This window comes from Homo sapiens, chromosome 13, assembly GCF_000001405.40.
Source record: "Homo sapiens chromosome 13, GRCh38.p14 Primary Assembly".
NCBI classification, from domain to species: Eukaryota; Metazoa; Chordata; class Mammalia; order Primates; family Hominidae; genus Homo; species Homo sapiens.
In genome coordinates this window covers 114,065,873-114,086,537 of record NC_000013.11, presented here as the reverse complement: position 1 = coordinate 114,086,537, position 20,665 = coordinate 114,065,873, and the positions used below count along the sequence as shown (strand labels likewise).

Below are 20,665 nucleotides of genomic sequence, written 5' to 3'. Positions count from 1 at the left end.
CAGCACTTCCCCGGGATTTCCCCGCGAGGAGGAAGGGAGTCGATACTCCAGACTCAGCACTTCCCCGGGATTTCCCCGCGAGGAGGAAGGGAGTCGATACTCCAGACTCAGCACTTCCCCGGGATTTCCCCGCGAGGACGAAGGGAGTCGATACTCCAGACTCAGCACTTCCCCGGGATTTCCCCGCGAGGAGGAAGGGAGTCGATACTCCAGACTCAGCACTTCCCCGGGATTTCCCCGCGAGGACGAAGGGAGTCGATACTCCAGACTCAGCACTTCCCCGGGATTTCCCCGCGAGGACGAAGGGAGTCGATACTCCAGACTCAGCACTTCCCCGGGATTTCCCCGCGAGGACGAAGGGAGTCGATACTCCAGACTCAGCACTTCCCCGGGATTTCCCCGCGAGGACGAAGGGAGTCGATACTCCAGACTCAGCACTTCCCCGGGATTTCCCCGCGAGGACGAAGGGAGTCGATACTCCAGACTCAGCACTTCCCCGGGATTTCCCCGCGAGGACGAAGGGAGTCGATACTCCAGACTCAGCACTTCCCCGGGATTTCCCCGCGAGGACGAAGGGAGTCGATACTCCAGACTCAGCACTTCCCCGGGATTTCCCCGCGAGGACGAAGGGAGTCGATACTCCAGACTCAGCACTTCCCCGGGATTTCCCCGCGAGGACGAAGGGAGTCGATACTCCAGACTCAGCACTTCCCCGGGATTTCCCCGCGAGGACGAAGGGAGTCGATACTCCAGACTCAGCACTTCCCCGGGATTTCCCCGCGAGGACGAAGGGAGTCGATACTCCAGACTCAGCACTTCCCCGGGATTTCCCCGCGAGGACGAAGGGAGTCGATACTCCAGACTCAGCACTTCCCCGGGATTTCCCCGCGAGGACGAAGGGAGTCGATACTCCAGACTCAGCACTTCCCCGGGATTTCCCCGCGAGGACGAAGGGAGTCGATACTCCAGACTCAGCACTTCCCCGGGATTTCCCCGCGAGGACGAAGGGAGTCGATACTCCAGACTCAGCACTTCCCCGGGATTTCCCCGCGAGGACGAAGGGAGTCGATACTCCAGACTCAGCACTTCCCCGGGATTTCCCCGCGAGGAGGAAGGGAGTCGATACTCCAGACTCAGCACTTCCCCGGGATTTCCCCGCGAGGAGGAAGGGAGTCGATACTCCAGACTCAGCACTTCCCCGGGATTTCCCCGCGAGGACGAAGGGAGTCGATACTCCAGACTCAGCACTTCCCCGGGATTTCCCCGCGAGGACGAAGGGAGTCGATACTCCAGACTCAGCACTTCCCCGGGATTTCCCCGCGAGGACGAAGGGAGTCGATACTCCAGACTCAGCACTTCCCCGGGATTTCCCCGCGAGGACGAAGGGAGTCGATACTCCAGACTCAGCACTTCCCCGGGATTTCCCCGCGAGGACGAAGGGAGTCGATACTCCAGACTCAGCACTTCCCCGGGATTTCCCCGCGAGGACGAAGGGAGTCGATACTCCAGACTCAGCACTTCCCCGGGATTTCCCCGCGAGGACGAAGGGAGTCGATACTCCAGACTCAGCACTTCCCCGGGATTTCCCCGCGAGGACGAAGGGAGTCGATACTCCAGACTCAGCACTTCCCCGGGATTTCCCCGCGAGGAGGAAGGGAGTCGATACTCCAGACTCAGCACTTCCCCGGGATTTCCCCGCGAGGAGGAAGGGAGTCGATACTCCAGACTCAGCACTTCCCCGGGATTTCCCCGCGAGGACGAAGGGAGTCGATACTCCAGACTCAGCACTTCCCCGGGATTTCCCCGCGAGGACGAAGGGAGTCGATACTCCAGACTCAGCACTTCCCCGGGATTTCCCCGCGAGGACGAAGGGAGTCGATACTCCAGACTCAGCACTTCCCCGGGATTTCCCCGCGAGGACGAAGGGAGTCGATACTCCAGACTCAGCACTTCCCCGGGATTTCCCCGCGAGGAGGAAGGGAGTCGATACTCCAGACTCAGCACTTCCCCGGGATTTCCCCGCGAGGAGGAAGGGAGTCGATACTCCAGACTCAGCACTTCCCCGTGATTTCCCCGCGAGGAGGAAGGGAGTCGATACTCCAGACTCAGCACTTCCCCGGGATTTCCCCGCGAGGAGGAAGGGAGTCGATACTCCAGACTCAGCACTTCCCCGGGATTTCCCCGCGAGGAGGAAGGGAGTCGATACTCCAGACTCAGCACTTCCCCGGGATTTCCCCGCGAGGAGGAAGGGAGTCGATACTCCAGACTCAGCACTTCCCCGGGATTTCCCCGCGAGGAGGAAGGGAGTCGATACTCCAGACTCACCACTTCCCCGGGATTTCCCCGCGAGGAGGAAGGGAGTCGATACTCCAGACTCAGCACTTCCCCGGGATTTCCCCGCGAGGAGGAAGGGAGTCGATACTCCAGACTCAGCACTTCCCCGTGATTTCCCCGCGAGGAGGAAGGGAGTCGATACTCCAGACTCAGCACTTCCCCGGGATTTCCCCGCGAGGACGAAGGGAGTCGATACTCCAGACTCAGCACTTCCCCGGGATTTCCCCGCGAGGACGAAGGGAGTCGATACTCCAGACTCAGCACTTCCCCGGGATTTCCCCGCGAGGAGGAAGGGAGTCGATACTCCAGACTCAGCACTTCCCCGGGATTTCCCCGCGAGGACGAAGGGAGTCGATACTCCAGACTCAGCACTTCCCCGTGATTTCCCCGCGAGGAGGAAGGGAGTCGATACTCCAGACTCACCACTTCCCCGTGATTTCCCCGCGAGGACGAAGGGAGTCGATACTCCAGACTCACCACTTCCCCGTGATTTCCCCGCGAGGACGAAGGGAGTCGATACTCCAGACTCACCACTTCCCCGTGATTTCCCCGCGAGGAGGAAGGGAGTCGATACTCCAGACTCACCACTTCCCCGTGATTTCCCCGCGAGGACGAAGGGAGTCGATACTCCAGACTCACCACTTCCCCGTGATTTCCCCGCGAGGACGAAGGGAGTCGATACTCCAGACTCAGCACTTCCTGTGATTTCACGGCACGCCATTGCTGCTGGGCTCCAGGCTGTCTGGCTGGGTGCTTCTGGAGGTGTGGGTGCCTCTGAACGGGGCCCTGCTCTCCTCTCTCTGGCTTTGGGGCCACACTGGTCGCTTGAAATCGGCCAGGAATGTTCACACCACAGAAATCAGGATGGGCCACACATCGGAGGAAATTGAGCTCACGTTTGAACAAAGGTTTTGTTGATCATCTAATCTTGCTACCCTGAATTAAATAATCTTGTATATAGCGGTTACACTGCAATAGCACAAAAAAATTAAGACAATGTTTTTCTGGCATTTAAAACTTCACCTGATTCAACAAAGTTGCTTGTGACATTGATGAATGAGTGAAGCGCCAGCATTCCCAGTGTGAAAGCCAGAAGAGATGTCAGCTTAATATAATTTGTATGAGTGGGAGAAATGTTTTAATGGTCGACACATATCACACTCAGTGATGACGCACTTTTTGAGAACCAGCTAGCAGAGGGTGCGTTGCCTCTGTTTGTCAAATCCTGGTTAAATGCAGCCCAGGATTGGCTTAGAGACAAGAGTTTGCTGTGAGAATCAATTAGCTCTGTGAGTTTGAAGTAGAGGACTGTGTATCTCATTATTTTTTGTGAGTTGTGTGCTACACATCTTTTACACTAGTGCAATGTATGACTTAACCTAGTTGAGCTCGTGCATGCATTTTTCCCCTAGAGAACCAGGTTGTTAAACCTCTGTTGGGACCACCCACCTGGGGGTGCAGCCCCAGGCCTGTCCCTTCCCCTCTTGCGTACAGGCTGGGTGTGAACTAAACGTTGCTTGGGTTAAGGAAAGTTGTTTTCCCTGCCCCCCATTCCTTCTCTGGGGCTGCCCCCAGACGGGACGCAGCTGGGAGACGTTCTTCATGGTTTTATCTCAGTGCGGCGCATCAAGGGAGAAAGACCCAGTTCCCTTTGTTCCTCACTCTCCATTCAAGCGCGTGTGTCCACCCGGGGAGCAGCCTCGGAGCCTCGGAGCACAGGGAGGTTTGCCCACTGTCCGTGATCAGGAAGAAAGCATCTCTCTCCGAGGCAGATGTCAGCATTGTTGCCACTGCCCGTTATAAGAGACTAGGGTTCCCCAGGCTCAGGCCCTGCTCCCAAGGTGCAGCCGATATGTGTGCAGGCATCACTGGGTTCCCAATCCCAATTTGGTACTGCGTGAGGCAAACCAGGGCACCTGCAGACGCTGCAGCTCTGGCTCTGCTGTTGCGGTGATGTCCTTTGTCTCAGACGTGGACGTCTCTGGCCTCCTGCCTGCCCCTGTGAGACCCGCAGCTCCCCGGTGAGTGGGGCGAGGAGGTAGGGGCATCTTCACACCTTCTCAGTTCTCAGCAGTAAGTAATGCCTCTCAGTCCTGGCTGCACCCAGAACCACCTGCAGGCTTTCTAATCAAGACGAATGTCTGTTCTTACTGCCTGGAGCCCGTCCTAGTCAAAGAATGGCAATCTCTGGGTGGGGTCCAGGCATTTGTCCTGTGAGAAGCTCTCCTGTGTGTGCAGCTGCAGCCGGTGAGTGCAGGTGTGAGGTCCTGTGTGTGGACTCAGGAGAGGAGTCACAGCCCCAGGAGATGCAGCCTGGATGCGGGGCAGGCTCTGCTGCGCTAGGAACACGGGGGCCCTGGGGGTTCCTGTGCAGCACCGGTGTGTCTCTGCTCCTTTGTGAACTCAGAAGGGCGGCTTCATTTCAGCCCACCTTTGCCTTCTCTTTCCTCGTTATTCCCTGGGTGTTTTCAGCCGCCAGTGAAACTTCGGTTTTGAACCCATAGGATTTGCCTCAGTCTCCTGGTGGACACGTCTCTGTGGAGGAGAGGTCCCCTGTCTGCAATCGCCTTCTTTCCCATATTTTATTACCTGTTTATAAGAGTGAGCACAGTTAGAACCAGCTGACAGGGTTTGGAGTCGTGTTTCTCAGGATATTCCAGAGGCATTCCTGCTCCATTCATCTCAGGACTTGAAGTATTTTCCCCAGCGGCTCATTGTAGACCAGCTGGATTCACAGGCAGTCAGAACCACGAGAGTGCATGTGCTGGTGGCCGTGGTCTGCGGACAGCATTTCCAGAGTGCTGGGTGATGCGGCCCCCGCGCCTTGAGAGTTATACTGCATCGGGAGACTGGGCAGCCCTGGGGAGGCCCGGCCTGGACAACCTTCTGGCTGACCTGGCTCCAAGGCCAGGTCTCCTCCTAGACGTTTAGGGATCACTTGGGTCTCGGGACGCGTGAGTCTCTGGAGTGACGTGGCAGCATCTCCTGTGTGGCCCGTTGCTAACAGCCTTTGCACCAAGCACGAGAGGAGGGTCATTTGCACCAGGAGCGTGTAACTGGGGTACTGTTGCGTTTTGGGTGGACGGCCCTCTGCCACGCAGCACTATTGGTGTTCTAGGTGGACGGCCCTCTGCCGTGGGACACTCTTGGTGTTCTAGGTGGACGGCCCTCTGCCGTGGGGCACTCTTGGTGTTCTAGGTGGACGGCCCTCTGCCGAGGGGCACTCTTGGTGTTCTAGGTGGACGGCCCTCTGCCGAGGGGCACTATTGGTGTTCTAGGTGGACGGCCCTCTGCCGAGGGGCACTATTGGTGTTTTGGGTGGACGGCCCTCTGCCACACGGCACTATTGGTGTTCTAGGTGGACGGCCCTGTGCCCTGGGGCACCGTGTGCAGCAGGACACTGAACAGAAGACACCCTGCACTCTGCCCACCAGATGCCATTTGCACAGCCCATAGTGAAATCCAAGCGTGCCCTGGGAGGTGGCCCCTGGGGGAGACCCCTGTTTCAGTGGCCCCTGGGGGAGACCCCTGTTTCAGCCGTTGTCGGGGTCAGGCCTCCAGTAAGCACAGTGGGCGCCTTCTAGGACCCCTCCTGCCACCCCGTCACCATAGACTCATTCTCCCTGTGGTGGAAGTTTCAATTACATTGAATATGCCCGTTATTTGGGAGGGTTTAACATCTGGGCCTGGTCACCCGCCCCTCAGCAGAACCTCCCGTGCCCTCTGAAGAGCCGTGGAGACTGGAGGGAGCTGGAGGTGCTCTCAAGGAGACTGGACGACAGGCAGACCCCCTGGACGGCAGTGCTGGGCCCTCCCTGGGCAGGTGGTGTCACCCAGTGAGTTTTGGAATCAGCCCGCACAGCCCTCTCCTCCTTCCACCGCCCACAGAAGCCCGCTGGTGCCAGGGGCTCCCAGCAGCCCCTCCCGGCCAGGAGGATTGGGGGGTGCCTTGCTTGAGGATGGCAGCCTGGGCTTCTGTCATTCATAACCCACAGGAGTCCTCTTGAGGGAGGAGCATGGTGCCCTGGAGAGCCCTGGACAAGACCTGGGCCTGGCTCCATCCAAGCCCAGCGGCCTCTGCCCCTCCTGAGCGTGAGGATAGAGCAGGTGCCGTCTGCCCTCGACTCGGCCCAGAGGAAACCCCACTCCCACGGCCTCGCCGAGTTCTGCCTATTTCTGGCAGCTTCGCAGGCCCTTCGGGAAGGCACTTGTGTTGCCAGGGGTCGTGGGGGTCAGGGTCATGCTGTGTCCTCAAGACGCTGTGTCCCCTGCCTCGGGGCCCCCCCGCCTCTTCCTCTTATGGCCTCTGCACCGCAGTCAGCCCACCGAGATGTGCAGCCTCGTCCCACGGAGGGTGCCGGGTGGGGAGGCCAGTGCGGACGGGCACTCAGGCCCACTCAGAGGCCAGTCACGGAGCCCCCGTGTCCAGAGGCGAACAGGAGCCAGGGGGCACATGGGCCTTGCAGTCAGCAGCTCAGAGCCCGGAGAGGGGTCTCTACCCACGCATGGCACAGAGGCTTCTGTGCCTCACTGAGACCCTGCCAGGGCCTGGAGGAGGACCTGTTCGAGTGAGGATCCCAGGGGCCAGGGCTGGGATCGCTGTTCCAGGCTTCTAAATAGCCCAAAGTAGACGGGGCTCTTCATCCTTTATTCAGATATTTTAGTCACAAGACTATTGTTCCGGTAAATACTTTATGTTGTTAGAAGACGCTGTGTGCCTAGCAAAATTTTTAGGCCCCTTTGAATGTTTTGCGTTGGGACGACTAAAAGGCTGAGGTTGGGAGCCTTGAGAGCCGCACTTCCTCCAATTCTCCCGCAGGGTCTCCTTCCCCAACAGGCCCTGGGCTTTATTGCTGGGACGGGGTTGCTTTCGCTGGACCATGCACCGGGGCTGTCGCCATCACCTGTTCCACGTTATTTCAGTGAGGCCGACCTGTAGTTGAGTAAAACGCCGTGATGACGTGGGAAAGAGAAGAGCGCCCAGCCTGGGTGGACGCGGCCAGTACCAGCACAGCCCTGGCCTCTCCAGGACGTCTTCTGTCTGGGTTGGTGCCAGGAGCTTTGCTCAGTGGAGCCCTGGGCCCTCGTCCTCACCCGTGGCTGCCTTCATTCCTTCCTCCGCCCTCTTCACTGGGCGCTGAGCTGAGCTGCTGAGCGCCTGGGAGACGCCCGCTGCTGTGTTGAGCAGTACATGAGGCCAGCCCCGCCTGAGGGCCCTCCCCAGGATGCCTGCAGGGAGGAGCAGTGCTGGGTGGGGTCTGTGGAGACCTCCCCATGCCCTCACAGCTCCTCCTGGGTACAGGGGTGTGGCTCCGGGTGCTGCGGGCAGCCCCGACAGCTCGCTGTCAGCACTTGGAGACCCTGTGTGGGCCTCCAGGGAAGCCTGGGCATCCTAACCCTCGGTCAGGGCTGGGCCTGTGCTCACCCTGAGGGTGCAGCTTCCCTCCATGGCCCAGAAGGGCTGCCGTGGGCGTGGGAGTCATGACGCTTTGGATCAGGGCCTTTGTTTTTGTTACTCACTGCCTGATCCCTGGAGTTGGAAATCAGGTTTTGCGGTGTTATGCTGTTTACATTAAATGTGTTTAAGTGCTGCCTTTTACTCCTGTTAGTTGAGTTTTCAGAGCCGATGCGAGGTGCTGTGTTGGCTGTCTTCATCAGTCTGCCGGCTGGTGAACACACCGCATATGTTTTAGAGGCATGGTCTGTGGGAAAAGTGGTCATGAGAACTGTTACTTATTTGGCTGTTAGGATGAAACCAGTTTACTTTTCTTTTAATTCATTTATTCATCCATGCATGCAACAGATAATTAGGTACTTACTGTATACCACAGACAGCTTTGTCTTTTTATATGAACGTCTCTGTGCACCAGAAAAAAAAGAGAAAACGTGTTTCCTCTAAGAGAGACAGAACAGGCACCTTTGGTGAAGGTAACTGAATGAACTGTTTGGGGTGCGGTGGAGAAGAAACAGTTGCTTGGGAGCTGGGGCAGCCCCCGTCCCGCTCAGCTGTGGGGCTGCAGGGAGAGGCTCGGTCCTGGTGCATGTGGCACACACGGCGAGGCCCCGGGGCGACGTGGCCAGGCCGTGCTGCAGCAGCCCCAGCCCTCCTGGTCTGAGCAGCTCATTGGATGTTGGTGCGTCCAGCAGGCTCCCTGGTGTTGCTGTCGTCATAGCAACCAGGATGTTTCTCAGGAGTTTTTTTTTTTTTTTTCTGTTTCAATGCTTTATTAACAGTTGGAAACAAAACCAGTGCCTTGGAGGTGATGGCATCAGAAGCCTGAGGCAGGGAAATGGGCTTGCATTTTGTCCCCCCACTTTTTTTTTTATTAAATGCATCATAGCAAAAGTAGATTAAAAAGAAAGAGTCTCAGCCCCAGATGACAGTGAGCAAGGAGAAGGAGGTAAAGACGGGGCCATCGGGCGGGGAGGGAGGAACCTGGTGTGTTTTGGGGCCAGGGGACTGGGCATCATCGGGCAGGGAGGGAGGAACCCGGTGCCTTGGTGCCAGTGCGGGGGAACTGGGCATCGTTGGGCAGGGAGGGAGGGAGGGATGAATCCGGTGCGTTGGTGCCAGTGTGGGGGGACTGGGCATTGTCGGGCAGGGAGGAAGGATGAATCCGGTGCATTGGTGCCAGTGCGGTGGGACTGGGCATCGTCGGGCAGGGAGGGAGGGATGAATCCGGTGCGTTGGTGCCAGTGTGGGGGGACTGGGCATCATTGAGTGGGGAGGGAGGAAGGGATGAATCCGGTGTGTTGGTGCCAGTGTGGGGGGACTGGGCATCGTCAGGCAGGGACGGAGGGATGAATTGGGTGCGTTGGTGCCAGTGCGGTAGGACTGGGCATCGTCAGGCAGGGATGGAGGAACCTGGTGCGTTGGTGCCAGTGCGGTGGGACTGGGCATCATCAGGCAGGGAGGGATGAATCTGGTGTGTTGGCGCCAGCGCAGGGGGATCCGGCCTTTTCATGTCGTACGGCGTCTGTCTTACAGGGACTCCACAGAAAGCTTGTGTGTTTCCGTCCTGCAGTGTCCGCCTTCGGAAGACCCAGCTGTTACTGCTGTGATTTGAGGCCCTGTGGGAACAAATCTCAGTTCCGTATTATCCACAAACACCATCTCCCACAGGACTTTCAAAAGCTTTTTTCTCTCTCCTTTTAAGAAACACAGGAACTTACAGCTAAATATCTACACTCATTTGTTGCAAAAAACAAAGAAATCCCAGAAAACAAAACAAAAACAAAAAACTCCCAAAGACAAAAACAAAAAACCCAGTAAAATCCCAAGGGAAATATGGTCAGCGTCAGGTCACACTGTAAAGGTGTCAGAAGGAAAGTCAGCAAAGTCAAGCTGTGTTTGAGGGTAAGGACTTCTATCTGCTGCAGAAGCCGTCAGTTCCAAAACAGGGCCGGGAGGCTGGAGGGGCCCCTGTCCGACTTGCTGGGTGTGCTGCGGCTGCCCTCAAATTCAGGGGCAGCCGCGGCCACCAGGAAGGCTGCGTCTGCTCCGGGAACCTCAACTGCCATCCCCCAGGCTCCCTTCCCTCTCTGGAGAAGCTCGCCGGCCATGTTCTCCCCTTCGTGCCTGTGAACTCATCACACACCCTGCCTGCGTGTGCCGCGTGTGTGTGCGTGTGCTGCCTGCGTGTGCTGCGTGTGTGTGCGGTGCTGCCTGCGTGCGTGTGCTGCGTGTGTGCGCTGCGTGTGTGCGTGTGCTGCGTGTGGGATCTTCACATCGGTGGGAGCCTTCGGAAAGCCTGTCTTCTGACATGGGATGACCGACCTGAGGCCTGGCCTGGAGCCAGGTGCCTCGTAGCAGCCTAGCTGTGTTCTCCCATGCAGCGGGTGAAGAAGGCGCATCCCGGGAGAGTCGCCGTGTTGAGGTGTTCTGAGGGTCCAGTGCCTATCAGGAAATACTCATTTTTTCCCACCAACCGATTATCATTGATGCTTCCTTAATGATTCCCAAAATAAAAATTTCCAGAACCTTTTGAATTAGAGGCGTCTCAGAGCCGGAGGAGCCTTCGAGAGCTGCTGTGTCTCTTGCTTTTGCAGTTCAGGACTTTGAGGCCCAGAGAGGTAGACTGTGTGTTGGGGGCACTGGCGGGAAACGGCCGCAAGCAGTGAGACCCTGAGAGCTGCTCCGTGTGGGCAGCAGCGGGTGCTGCTGGGAACGCCTGCCGGCGCCTCCACACGCAGAGATACGCGGCGCCGACACGGGAGGCTTCGTCCTGCCGGCGCCTCCACACCCAGAGATACGCGGCGCCGACACGGGAGGCTTCGTCCTGCCGGCGCCTCCACACGCAGAGATACGCGGCGCGGACACGGGAGGCTTCGTCCTGCCGGCGCCTCCACACGTAGAGATACGCGGCGCCGACACGGGAGGCTTCGTCCTGCCGGCGCCTCCACACGCAGAGATACGCGGCGCGGACACGGGAGGCTTCGTCCTGCCGGCGCCTCCACACCCAGAGATACGCGGCGCCGACACGGGCGGCTTCGTCCTGCCGGCGCCTCCACACGCAGAGATACGCGGTGCGGACACGGGAGGCTTCGTCCTGCCGGCGCCTCCACACGCAGAGATACGCGGTGCGGACACGGGAGGCTTCGTCCTGCCGGCGCCTCCACACGCAGAGATACGCGGCGCGGACACGGGAGGCTTCGTCCTGCCGGCGCCTCCACACCCAGAGATACGCGGCGCCGACACGGGAGGCTTCGTCCTGCCGGTGCCTCCACACGCAGAGATACGCGGCGCGGACACGGGAGGCGTTGTCCAGACCCTGGGGCTTCTGCTCCTTCTCACAGTGCCTCAGGTTAATATTGTGGATGAAAAGTCTTTAAAAAGCTTCAAACTGAGTTTATCTCTGCCCTTTGGAGTTGCTGGCATGCCAGTTTGCAAACTGGCATCTTTGAAATGAGCCGACTGCCCCATGTGAGCCATGACGTGTGCGCTTGCTGAGTTGACGCGAAACATTCAGCGCGGAGTGGCGGAAGTGGGGTTCTGAGAAACTTCTACTCTGCTCCCGTTTTTGATTTTGTTTGTTTCAACAAGAATAAGGTGATGTGGCCCTGAGTGGCGCCAGCAGGAGCCTTGGTGTGGTCTCAGCGTGGTGCCTGTGCCTGCATCTGTCCTCTCATCCTGCGTCGTGGAGACGCCACTGCCAGGCGTCTTTAGAGCCAAATGACGGAGGCAGAAAAGGCCCTGGGGAGGCGCGAGTGTGTTTGAGGCGTTTTTTTTACAGAATGGACTTAAACTGGGCATCCGCTGTCTGGATTGACAGCTGTCACTCATCCCTTCCTGCTCACTCCCTATTCTCCAGTAAACTGGGCCGTTAGGCTTGCCGCTGGGGCATGCTCCGAGCTTCCAGCAGAGAAGTCGCAGCTGGGGTTCAGTTATGACCTCCAGACTGACCCCTGGCAAACAAGGAGTCCGGGATCACGGGCGTTTTCTGCAGGGCCAGCCAGGAACTGGCCCCACTTCCTTCAAGCACGTCCAGGTGGCGTCTCTGTGGGCTTGAAGGAGGGAGAGGTGGACCTAGCTTAGGTCCCTCTGGGACGCTTCTCTTTACTGGCAATTCGAACAGCTGGAGTTTACAGTTAACTCACGTCCACAAGAAAGAGCTCTTTCCTTTAATTCTGGCTCCAACTTTGACCTAATATAAAATAAAATTCAAAATAAAAAGGGACTCAGTGGATAAATGAATAAGCAAGACGAGGTCCCTTTGCATCATGGAAGTTATTCAACCTTAAAATAGAAGGGAATCCAGTCAGCGGCCACAGCAGGGGCCACCCTGGAGGACATTTGCTGAGTAGAGTGAGCCGGGCTGAAAGGACACGTCCTGTGGATCCCGCCGACGTGAGGCCCCAGAGTAGTCAGATCCACAGAGACAGAAAGTGGGGTGAGGGCCACTGGGAGACAGCAGGAGGGGGATGGGAGTGAGTGTTGAATGGGGACCGAGTCTCCGTTTGGGAAGACGAGAGTGTTCCAGAGAGGACGGTGGTGATGGTTGCACAACTCGGTGAACGTGGTTAATGCCACAGAACTGTGCACGCGAGCAGGTCAGAGATGGAAAATTGTATGTTAAAAATTAAAATAAAGGGACTAATGCAGGTAAACAAGACACAGCAATCCTGAGTCCCAGGCTGGCAGGTCCCTGCTTGCGGGACTTGCATTAGAGGGTGGCGTGCATGTCCCTCGCCTTTCGGCAGTACACATGGGGTGCACATCCACATTTTGACTTGTGGTGGCAAAAAAACCAAGGCTTTATAGAGAGCTAGTGAATGCACACAAGCAAAGGCTGGAAACGTGTCTGCGATGTAGCAGGGAACAAACATTTCTACGCTGCTGATGATGTATGTCGCTTTTACTTTTTAGGTGAAGCCAAAAACCTTCCCTCTTACCCGGGGCCGAGCAAGATGAGGGATTGCTACTGCACGGTGAACCTGGACCAGGAGGAGGTTTTCAGGACCAAAATTGTGGAAAAGTCACTCTGGTAATGTCTTCTGTTGCTTTACTTGGCACTGATGTGTTTTCTTTGGTGTAGAGAATGTCCCAAGGGTGTACGTCACCTTCCCATTTTCCCATGTGTGGAGAACGTCCCGAGCGTGTACGTCACCATCCCGTTTTCCCGCATGTAGGGAATTTTTCTGTGCGTAGACAATGTCCCGAGCGTGTACGTCACCGTCCCGTTTTCCTGCGTGTAGGGAATTTTTCTGTGTGTAGACAGTGTCCCAAGCATGTACATCACCGTCCCATTTTCCCATGTGTAGGGAATTTTTCTGTGCGTAGACAATGTCCCGAGCGTGTACGTCACCGTCCCATTTTCCCGCGTGTAGGGAATTTTTCTGTGTGTAGACAGTGTCCCAAGCATGTACATCACCGTCCCATTTTCCCATGTGTAGGGAATTTTTCTGTGCGTAGACAATGTCCCGAGCGTGTACATCACCGTCCCGTTTTCCCGCGTGTAGGGAATTTTTCTGTGCGTAGACAATGTCCCGAGCGTGTACGTCACCGTCCCGTTTTCCTGCGTGTAGGGAATTTTTCTGTGTGTAGACAGTGTCCCAAGCATGTACATCACCGTCCCATTTTCCCATGTGTAGAGAATGTCCTGAGCGTGTACATCACTGTCCCATTTTCCCGCGTGTAGAGAATTTTTCTGTGTGTAGACAATGTCCCGAGCGTGGACATCACCGTCCCATTTTCCCGCGTGTAGGGAATTTTTCTATGTGTAGACAATGTCCCAAGTGTGTATATCACCGTCCCATTTTCCCATGTGTAGAGAATGTCCTGAGCGTGTACATCACTGTCCCATTTTCCCGCGTGTAGAGAATTTTTCTGTGTGTAGACAGTGTCCCGAGCGTGTACGTCACCATCCTATTTTCCCGCGTGTAGAGAATTTTTCTGTATGTAGATTATGTCCTGAGCATGTACATCACCTTCCCATTTTCCTCCTGCTTAGTTTGAGGAGGAGATGCTCCCTGGGGCTCTGGTGTGCAGGCAGCTGAGCTTCTGTCCTTGGTGGTGCGTGGATGTGAACTGGTGTTGGCTAAATGCTCCCGCTGTCCAGGAAGTGCATGTAGGCGGCGGTCCCCCTGCGTGGACTCGCACGAGTGCTTTTTAATTAGAGATGAACCGGGAAGCTCGCACTCCACAAAAGAGTACAAATTAAGGATTTCGAGAGGGGGAAATACTGAGAAAGCTTTTCTCTTCCTGTAAAATTTTCTAAAATAGCTATACAGAAGATGGGTGTTAACTGAGGTAAGAGGCCTAGAAAGTGTTTATTGATATGATTTGAGGAAGAGAGGAGTCAGCCAAGAAAAACAAACTCTTAAAATCAACAAGTTTCCCCCTCAACTTGAGCGTGTGAAGATGTGGGTGCCGACCCCAGGATGTCCAGAGCACAACCAGAACTTGTGTTTCTGAAAAGCTCCAGCTAAGTGGCCAGGCCGTACTCGGAGGACCACTGCAGTTGAACACCAGGACATGGCACGGGGTGGGATGCACAGGGACAGGAAGCCATGGCGATTTATGTCGGGGGTGGGAAGAGAGAAGCCAGGGAGAGTGTGCCAGGCAGGGCCTCAGTGCTGCGGCCTCGGGGGAAGCATGGGGCGGCTGGGTTATAAGGGAGCGGCTTGGGGATCAGAGAAGATGTCCGTGTAGCTGTGACTCCACCGGGTTATAAGGAGCGGCTTGGGGATCAGAGAAGACATCCTTGCAGCTGTGACTGCACCGTTCAGTTCAGAAGCATGGGTCGTGTGCTTTGATCAAAACAGCTATTTTGATTTTGAGAACATGTTTAGCTAAAGAATTATATCCTTGCATCTGGCTACTTCCAAGTGGGAATGAACAACCCATGCTGATGACTGGGTGAGTTTACTTACTAGAAAACTGTGAGGGGTCTCCTGCCCTGGAGAGACTGGGGCTCATATCACTCCGTCACTGACAGTGCTTCCAAAAGGCTTTGGCGCAGCTGCCCTCCAGGCCGAGGAGTGAGAGTCATTTGTGTTATGTTAATGCACGCTCCGGGTTCTTTGAAATAACTCGTCAAAAAGAACTGCAGGCTGAGGGGCATTGTCAGGCGCCCAGTCTGGCTTTATGAGAGTGTCTTGGGGTTGCCATGGCGATGACTGGGCACAGCCATTCTTCTGAAGAAAATGGGAAGAGACCGAGCCCTTCAGAAGTGCCTTTGGAGCTTCCCTGGATAAAAGTCCATTCTGTGTTTAAATGGTCTGTTGTTAGAGGCCTATGGATTGTGGGCCTGGAGAATTACTGGCAGTCTTTCTCAGGCCGGGATCCTCTCAGACCCGCTGAATCAGAGCCAGTGGGAGGAGAATCTGTTTGGGAACCTCTCTTTCAGGTGAGGTTGAGAAATGGGGGCCTGTTGTCTTTCAGATATTTCAGAAGAATTTAGAAATAGAAATCATGGTTCTGGCCGGGTGTGGTGGCTCACACCTGTAATCCCAGCACTTTGGGAGGCTGAGGTGTGAGGATTGCTTGAGGCCAGGAGGTTGAGGCCGCAGTGAGCCATGATTACATCACTGCACTTCAGCCTGGGCGACAGAGCAAGACCTTGTCTCAAAAAAACCCAAAACACACACAACAAAAGACTGATAGCAAAGAAAGAGAAACCCATGTGGGACAGTTCCAAGAGAGTAAAACTGTGGCACCGTTTAGCGTGGACGCCGGCAGCCCTGCCCACGTGTAACACTGTGGCGCCGTTTAGCGTGGACGCCGGCAGCCCTGCCCACGTGTAACACTGTGGCGCCGTTTAGCGTGGACGCCGGCAGCCCTGCCCACGTGTAAAACTGTGGCGCCGTTTAGCGTGGACGCCGGCAGCCCTGCCCACGTGTAAAACTGTGGCGCCGTTTAGCGTGGACGCCGGCAGCCCTGCCCACGTGTAAGACTGTGGCGCCGTTTAGCGTGGACGCCGGCAGCCCTGCCCACGTGTAAGACTGTGGAGCCGTTTAGCGTGGACGCCGGCAGCCCTGCCCACGTGTAAGACTGTGGCGCCGTTTAGCGTGGACGCCGGCAGCCCTGCCCACGTGTAAGACTGTGGAGCCGTTTAGCGTGGACGCCGGCAGCCCTGCCCACGTGTAACACTGGCGCCGTTTAGTGTGGACGCTGGCAGCCCTGTCCATTTGGAGGGCTGTGCGGGCTGGCCGCCCCTGTAGTGTGAGGGCAAAACGCAAATCAACCCACCCCATACAAAAAGTTGGCAGGAAAGGTACTTGAACCCAAAAGCTGGCTCTCTCATAAACTTGCAGCTGGAATCCACGCTACATCTGTGGTCGGAAGCCCTCCATCGGTGCACATGCATTAACAGAGTCCTGTATTAGTCATTGGTCGACATCCACCTGAGAGGCAGGTGTCAGGCAGGGCTGCCCCACATGCTGGGGAGTTTAGTCCTGGCCACCGCCCCCTCCTTGCTCCATGGTGGCACCCACTTTGGGGCCGGTCCCCCAAGTCTCCTGGTCCCCGAGTCTCCCATCCCCCGAGTCTCCCACCCCCCAGTCTCCCAGCCCCCAAGTCTCCCGGCCCCCCGAGTCTCCCAACCCCCGAGTCTCCCGGCCGCCTGAGTCTCCCAGCCCCCGAGTCTCCTGGCCCCCCAGTTTCCCGGTCCCCCCAAGTCTCCCGGCTCCCCGAGTCTCCCAGTCCCCAAGTCTCCCACCCCCCAGTCTCCCACCCCCCAGTCTCCCGGCCCCCGAGTCTCCCGGCCCCCCAGTTTCCCGGTTCCCCCAAGTCTCCCGGCTCCCTGAGTCTCCCAGTCCCCGAGTCTCCCACCCCCCCAGTCTCCCACCCCCCAGTCTCCTGACCCCTGAGTCTCCCGGCCCCTGAGTCTCCTGGCCCCCCAAGTCTCCCGGCCCCCGAGTCTCCTGGCCCCCCAAGTGGTCCCCTGAGTCTCTCAGCCCCCGAGTCTCCCGGCCCCCCAAGTCTCCCGGCCCCCGAGTCTCCCAGCCCCCCAAGTCTCCCAGCCCCCGAGCCTCCCAGCCCCCCAAGTCTCCTGGCCCCCCGAGTCTCCTGGCCCCCCAGTTTCCCGGCCCCCTCAGTTTCCCGGCTCCCCGAGTCTCCCGGCTCCCCGAGTCTCCCGGTCCCCGAATCTCCCATTCCCCCAGTCTCCCACCCCCCAGTCTCCCGACCCCCAAGTCTCCCAACCCCCGAGTCTCCCGACCCCTGAGTCTCCTGGCCCCTGTGTCTCCTGGCCCCCTGAGTCTCCTGGTCCCCCGAGTCTCCCGGCCCCCGAGTCTCCCAGCCCCCCAAGTCTCCCGGTCCCTGAGTCTCCCAGCCCCCCGTGTGCTTCCTCCAAGGTCAGTGTCACCTTTAAGGTCTGATGGTTCATTTGGCAAAGTCGCTGTGGAAAGAAAAAAGCCCACGTCTGCATCTCTGAGCTCAGAAGGGCCCCAGGGTGCTCTCTGGCCGCTGGGTCTGCAGCCGGGCAGGAGCCCCTTCTCACATTCCCTGGGGAGAAGCACTTGGGTCAAGTTTGATTTGCTGTTGCCCAATATCGCCGTCTGACTTAGCAGGAAGCTGCAAATGGAATGTGTGAGGAAGGAAAGGCGGAACTCAGCTTCTCTTCTTCCCTCTTTCCCACTAAGGAGGTCACCGACCCAGCTCCACCTCAGGCCTGTGTCCCCCACGCCTCCTCCCTGCGTGTGGCCCGGGCCCCTGGGCCGCGCGTCCGAGGCCCTGGAGTCTGTGGGGCCTCTTTATCGAGTGCTGAGCCGACGTCTGGGGAGAGCGTCCTCTGTCTTCCCTTTTTTCTGTATTTTTCAAGGTGGAGGTTGAAGGGCAGTGTCTGTCACAGGTTTAACTTCAGAACGCATCGAAGTGGACACATTTCAGAGAACAAGCCCTTTCTCTCTGGCCTTGGCCCTTCTCCAAGGAAGTGATTTTGGCAGTTTCTGTCCTACTAGAAAAATAATTTTCTGAGGTTGAGAGTGAACTGTGTTCACAATCCATACCTTTTAGAGCAATCATTTTTAATCATTTAAAGGGCAGCCACTATTTGTTTCCTTATTTACTTAAACTAAAAGGCTCCCTGAAATTGGGTTGGCAGGGCTGGGGCTTGGGAACCAGCTTCCCGCCCTGGACCTCCCCTGGGCCGGCACCCACGACCCTAAAACAAGGAGATGACCCCGCTCCCCAAGGCTGCGCTGCAGTGGAAATCACCGTCTTGTCCAGCAGAAAGGAACAGCTGGCGTCACACACAACAGAACCTAAATCTCTCCTTGCTGGGTTAGTCCAGTCATTTGCAAGAATATTCAGTAAGTGTCGTGTCCTCATTTCCTTCCATCCACGTAAGGACGTGGAATGGTGTCTGTCCCTGCCTGCTTCCTCTGCGCCCACGTGGCTGACCTCTCCCCAAACCCTCATCCACGCAGACAGTCCTGGCTCAGGGAGGCTCTGCCTCAGGGTTCTGGGTCTGACCCTACCCCCTGCCACTGGGGTTGAGGCTGGGCAAAGCCCTCTGCCCCACGCGGAGCCCTGGCCCCCCCTTTCTGTGGAGTTGCTCCTGCGTCCTTTGCAGGGTTCATTTGCATGCCCATCTCGGGGAGAAGGGGCCGTGGCCACAACAGGAAGAAACTGCAGGCGTGGCTGGTTTCTGTGCCCCCTCCACCCAGAGGTGCCACGGCCTGAACTCCTGCTCCGAAAGCTGGTTATGCGTTAGGTTACAAAGCTGTGTCTGTAGGAAAAGTTCTTTTGTTTAAAAAATCATGAGCACCCCCAAAATGATCTGGATACGCAGACAAAAACGTCAATGTGATGTGATTTCTGAGAAGTGGAATTATGGGGGAGTTCTTGTTCTTTTGTTTGTGTGTTTTATGTACAATTAGAAGTTACAAGTCAAGGAACAGATAGATCTTCTAGAGCTGAGCGAGGAGAGCTGGGTCTTCCCAGGCAGACGAGGACATCAGACATCACCAGGGACCCTCACTTGGCAGCCCTGAGGGGCAGGCTCTGAGCTCTTCTGGGTGGAAGCCCGTCCCGTCCTGTGTGCACGCAGTGGGTGTTTGTTAAAGACAGGGAGGTTTCTTTCTGTTCATACTGCAAGATGTAAATCACCCCCAAAATAGTACTTTTGTGTAGTAGAAATGACTAAACCAAGAAATGTCTCCACAGCTCCAAAGTTTTTCGGGAGGGGAGAAGTTATTTGGGGTTAGAAACTGAAAGGGGCAGGAGGAAGTTGGTGGTTTGGGAGACAGACGGTTCATTCTCTCAGATGCTTTTAATAAAAACCAAGTTGCTGACTTAGGAAACACCGACTTTGACATTAGGCGACTCATGAAAAGTCACATTTCCCATGAACATTTATTTTCACTCTCAAGTTAGAGCTTAAACAAAAACCTGCTTGACACGACTGGAGGCTTCTTGAAGCCCAGAATATCCCAGAACTGCTGGAGTAGGGGACCCATCCTCAGCCCCAGAGTACCCCAGGTGGGGGCCCATCCTCAGCCCCGGGGTGTCCGCAGGTGGGGGCCCATCCTCAGCCCCAGAAGTGCCCCAGGTGGGGGGCCCGTCCTCAGCCCCAGAGTACCGCAGGTGGGGGCCCATCCTCAGCTCCAGAGTGCCCCAGGTGGGGGGCCCGTCCTCAGCCCCAGAGTGCCCCAGCTGGGGGGCCCATCCTCAGCCCAGGTTGGGGGGCCTGTCCTCAGCCCAGGTCAGGGGGCCAGTCCTCAGCCCAGGTCAGGGGGCCCGTCCTCAGCCCAGGTTGGGGGGCCCGTCCTCAGCCCAGGTAGGGGGGCCTGTCCTCAGCCCAGGTGGGGAGGCCCGTCCTCAGCCCAGGTTGGGCCCATCCTCAGCCCAGGTGGGGGCCCATCCTCAGCCCCAGAGCACCCCAGGCCAGGGATCTGTTCTCTCAGTCCTGGAATGCTGGCCCCAAATCTCCCAGCAGGTCAGAGCCCCTGGTCCTGTCTGTATGACCCCCAAGCCCGGCCCAGCATCTCCATCTCCACCTGCATGTGTGTGTCCTTCCGTGTCATGCTGGCTCACAGGAGCGCACCTGTGTCAGAATGATGCAGGGGGTTCTCTCAGCCGCACAGGAACTCAGCCGGCGGAGAGCATGAGGTTGCTCGTATTCTGTGAGTACTGAGTGTCTACTGCACATGGCAGGCTGCCCCAGGCCCAGGCCTGGAAGGGACTCATCGGCCGCCTGTGCCTGCAGGAGCCTCCTGGCCCTGAGCTGTGGCTGGGCCACTGCAGGGAGAGGCTGGGCCTGTCACGAGGGGGCCGCACCGAGGATCCCATGAGGAGCAAAGGCCAGGTCCCCCCTTCTCCCTCCTGCCCGGGCCTCCTCTCGCCCGGCCGCCTCCCGCTCCTCGGCCGCTGGCCCTCTCTCCTGCCCCTGGCACCTCCCTGGAGAGCCCCTTTTCCCACCAGGGCCTCACTGAGGGTTTGGGGTTTGAGGTGTCTCAGCTGCTGCAGGGGACCCGGTGTCTGGTTGTGCCTCCTCCTGAGAGTCACTGCTGCAGTCACACATCGTGGCCGGGCCCTAAAGACCCAGCCGATTTTCATTTGTTTGTAAGGATGGTGGTTCTTTTTTGGGGGGTATGGGGTGGGAGAGAGGAAAGAGCCTCATGTGCAGGAGAGGCGGGAGCCGAGGCCACAGTGTCCCGGGGTGCTGCGTGCAGTGGTGTGTGGCGTGTGGTGTGTGGCGTGCCTGGCGACCACAGAGCCCATGAGCCGAGGGGCAGCTCCTCGGTGCCCCTGAACAGATGGGGAGACTGAGGCTCGGGGAGGTGAGGTGGCTCACCACGGCCGCTGCAGCTGTGAGTCTCAGCCCAGCCCGCCTGCTTTCCTCACTGAGTCTTTGGGTTCCGTTTGAAGACTCACAGCTCTATTTGC

At 57.4% G+C, this 20,665-nt stretch overlaps 1 protein-coding gene across 9 annotated transcripts in view, besides 9 other annotated features; it reads left to right on the top strand.

Annotated features, from left to right (window-relative positions):
* The window catches only part of RASA3 (RAS p21 protein activator 3), a 154,841-nt gene that overhangs the window by 46,086 nt on the left and 88,090 nt on the right, over positions 1-20,665 (top strand). For 4 of the 9 annotated variants that reach the window (NM_007368.4, NM_001320821.2, XM_047430156.1 and 1 more), the window contains one exon: positions 12,701-12,818. The exons of 1 other annotated variant lie outside the window; for it this stretch is intronic. In NM_007368.4, the coding sequence (NP_031394.2) occupies positions 12,701-12,818 (118 nt within the window). Of the gene's footprint in view, positions 1-8,582; positions 8,736-9,322; positions 9,692-10,893; positions 11,139-12,067; positions 12,225-12,700; positions 12,819-20,665 lie in introns of those variants that run through there. 4 more of the 9 variants (XM_047430155.1, NM_001320822.2, XM_011534841.4 and 1 more) reach the window with 4 other exon arrangements.
* Positions 2,148-3,347: an enhancer, noted in NCBI's record as "P300/CBP strongly-dependent group 1 enhancer chr13:114848666-114849865 (GRCh37/hg19 assembly coordinates)". NCBI's record gives its function as "activates an origin of replication core promoter dependent on BRD2, BRD4, P300/CBP, MED14 and CDK7 cofactors, with strong dependence on P300/CBP, by STARR-seq in HCT116 cells {active_cell/tissue: HCT116}" and the evidence as "EXISTENCE:reporter gene assay evidence [ECO:0000049][PMID:35650434]".
* Positions 12,248-13,447: an enhancer, noted in NCBI's record as "BRD4-independent group 4 enhancer chr13:114838566-114839765 (GRCh37/hg19 assembly coordinates)". NCBI's record gives its function as "activates an origin of replication core promoter dependent on BRD2, P300/CBP, MED14 and CDK7 cofactors, and independent of BRD4, by STARR-seq in HCT116 cells {active_cell/tissue: HCT116}" and the evidence as "EXISTENCE:reporter gene assay evidence [ECO:0000049][PMID:35650434]".
* Positions 18,380-18,559: an enhancer, noted in NCBI's record as "active region_8054". NCBI's record gives its function as "activates an Ori minimal core promoter by ATAC-STARR-seq in GM12878 lymphoblastoid cells {active_cell/tissue: GM12878}" and the evidence as "EXISTENCE:reporter gene assay evidence [ECO:0000049][PMID:35858748]".
* Positions 18,640-18,729: an enhancer, noted in NCBI's record as "active region_8053". NCBI's record gives its function as "activates an Ori minimal core promoter by ATAC-STARR-seq in GM12878 lymphoblastoid cells {active_cell/tissue: GM12878}" and the evidence as "EXISTENCE:reporter gene assay evidence [ECO:0000049][PMID:35858748]".
* Positions 18,830-18,889: an enhancer, noted in NCBI's record as "active region_8052". NCBI's record gives its function as "activates an Ori minimal core promoter by ATAC-STARR-seq in GM12878 lymphoblastoid cells {active_cell/tissue: GM12878}" and the evidence as "EXISTENCE:reporter gene assay evidence [ECO:0000049][PMID:35858748]".
* Positions 19,040-19,099: an enhancer, noted in NCBI's record as "active region_8051". NCBI's record gives its function as "activates an Ori minimal core promoter by ATAC-STARR-seq in GM12878 lymphoblastoid cells {active_cell/tissue: GM12878}" and the evidence as "EXISTENCE:reporter gene assay evidence [ECO:0000049][PMID:35858748]".
* Positions 19,370-19,489: a silencer, noted in NCBI's record as "silent region_5555". NCBI's record gives its function as "represses an Ori minimal core promoter by ATAC-STARR-seq in GM12878 lymphoblastoid cells {active_cell/tissue: GM12878}" and the evidence as "EXISTENCE:reporter gene assay evidence [ECO:0000049][PMID:35858748]".
* Positions 19,700-19,829: an enhancer, noted in NCBI's record as "active region_8050". NCBI's record gives its function as "activates an Ori minimal core promoter by ATAC-STARR-seq in GM12878 lymphoblastoid cells {active_cell/tissue: GM12878}" and the evidence as "EXISTENCE:reporter gene assay evidence [ECO:0000049][PMID:35858748]".
* Positions 20,160-20,229: a silencer, noted in NCBI's record as "silent region_5554". NCBI's record gives its function as "represses an Ori minimal core promoter by ATAC-STARR-seq in GM12878 lymphoblastoid cells {active_cell/tissue: GM12878}" and the evidence as "EXISTENCE:reporter gene assay evidence [ECO:0000049][PMID:35858748]".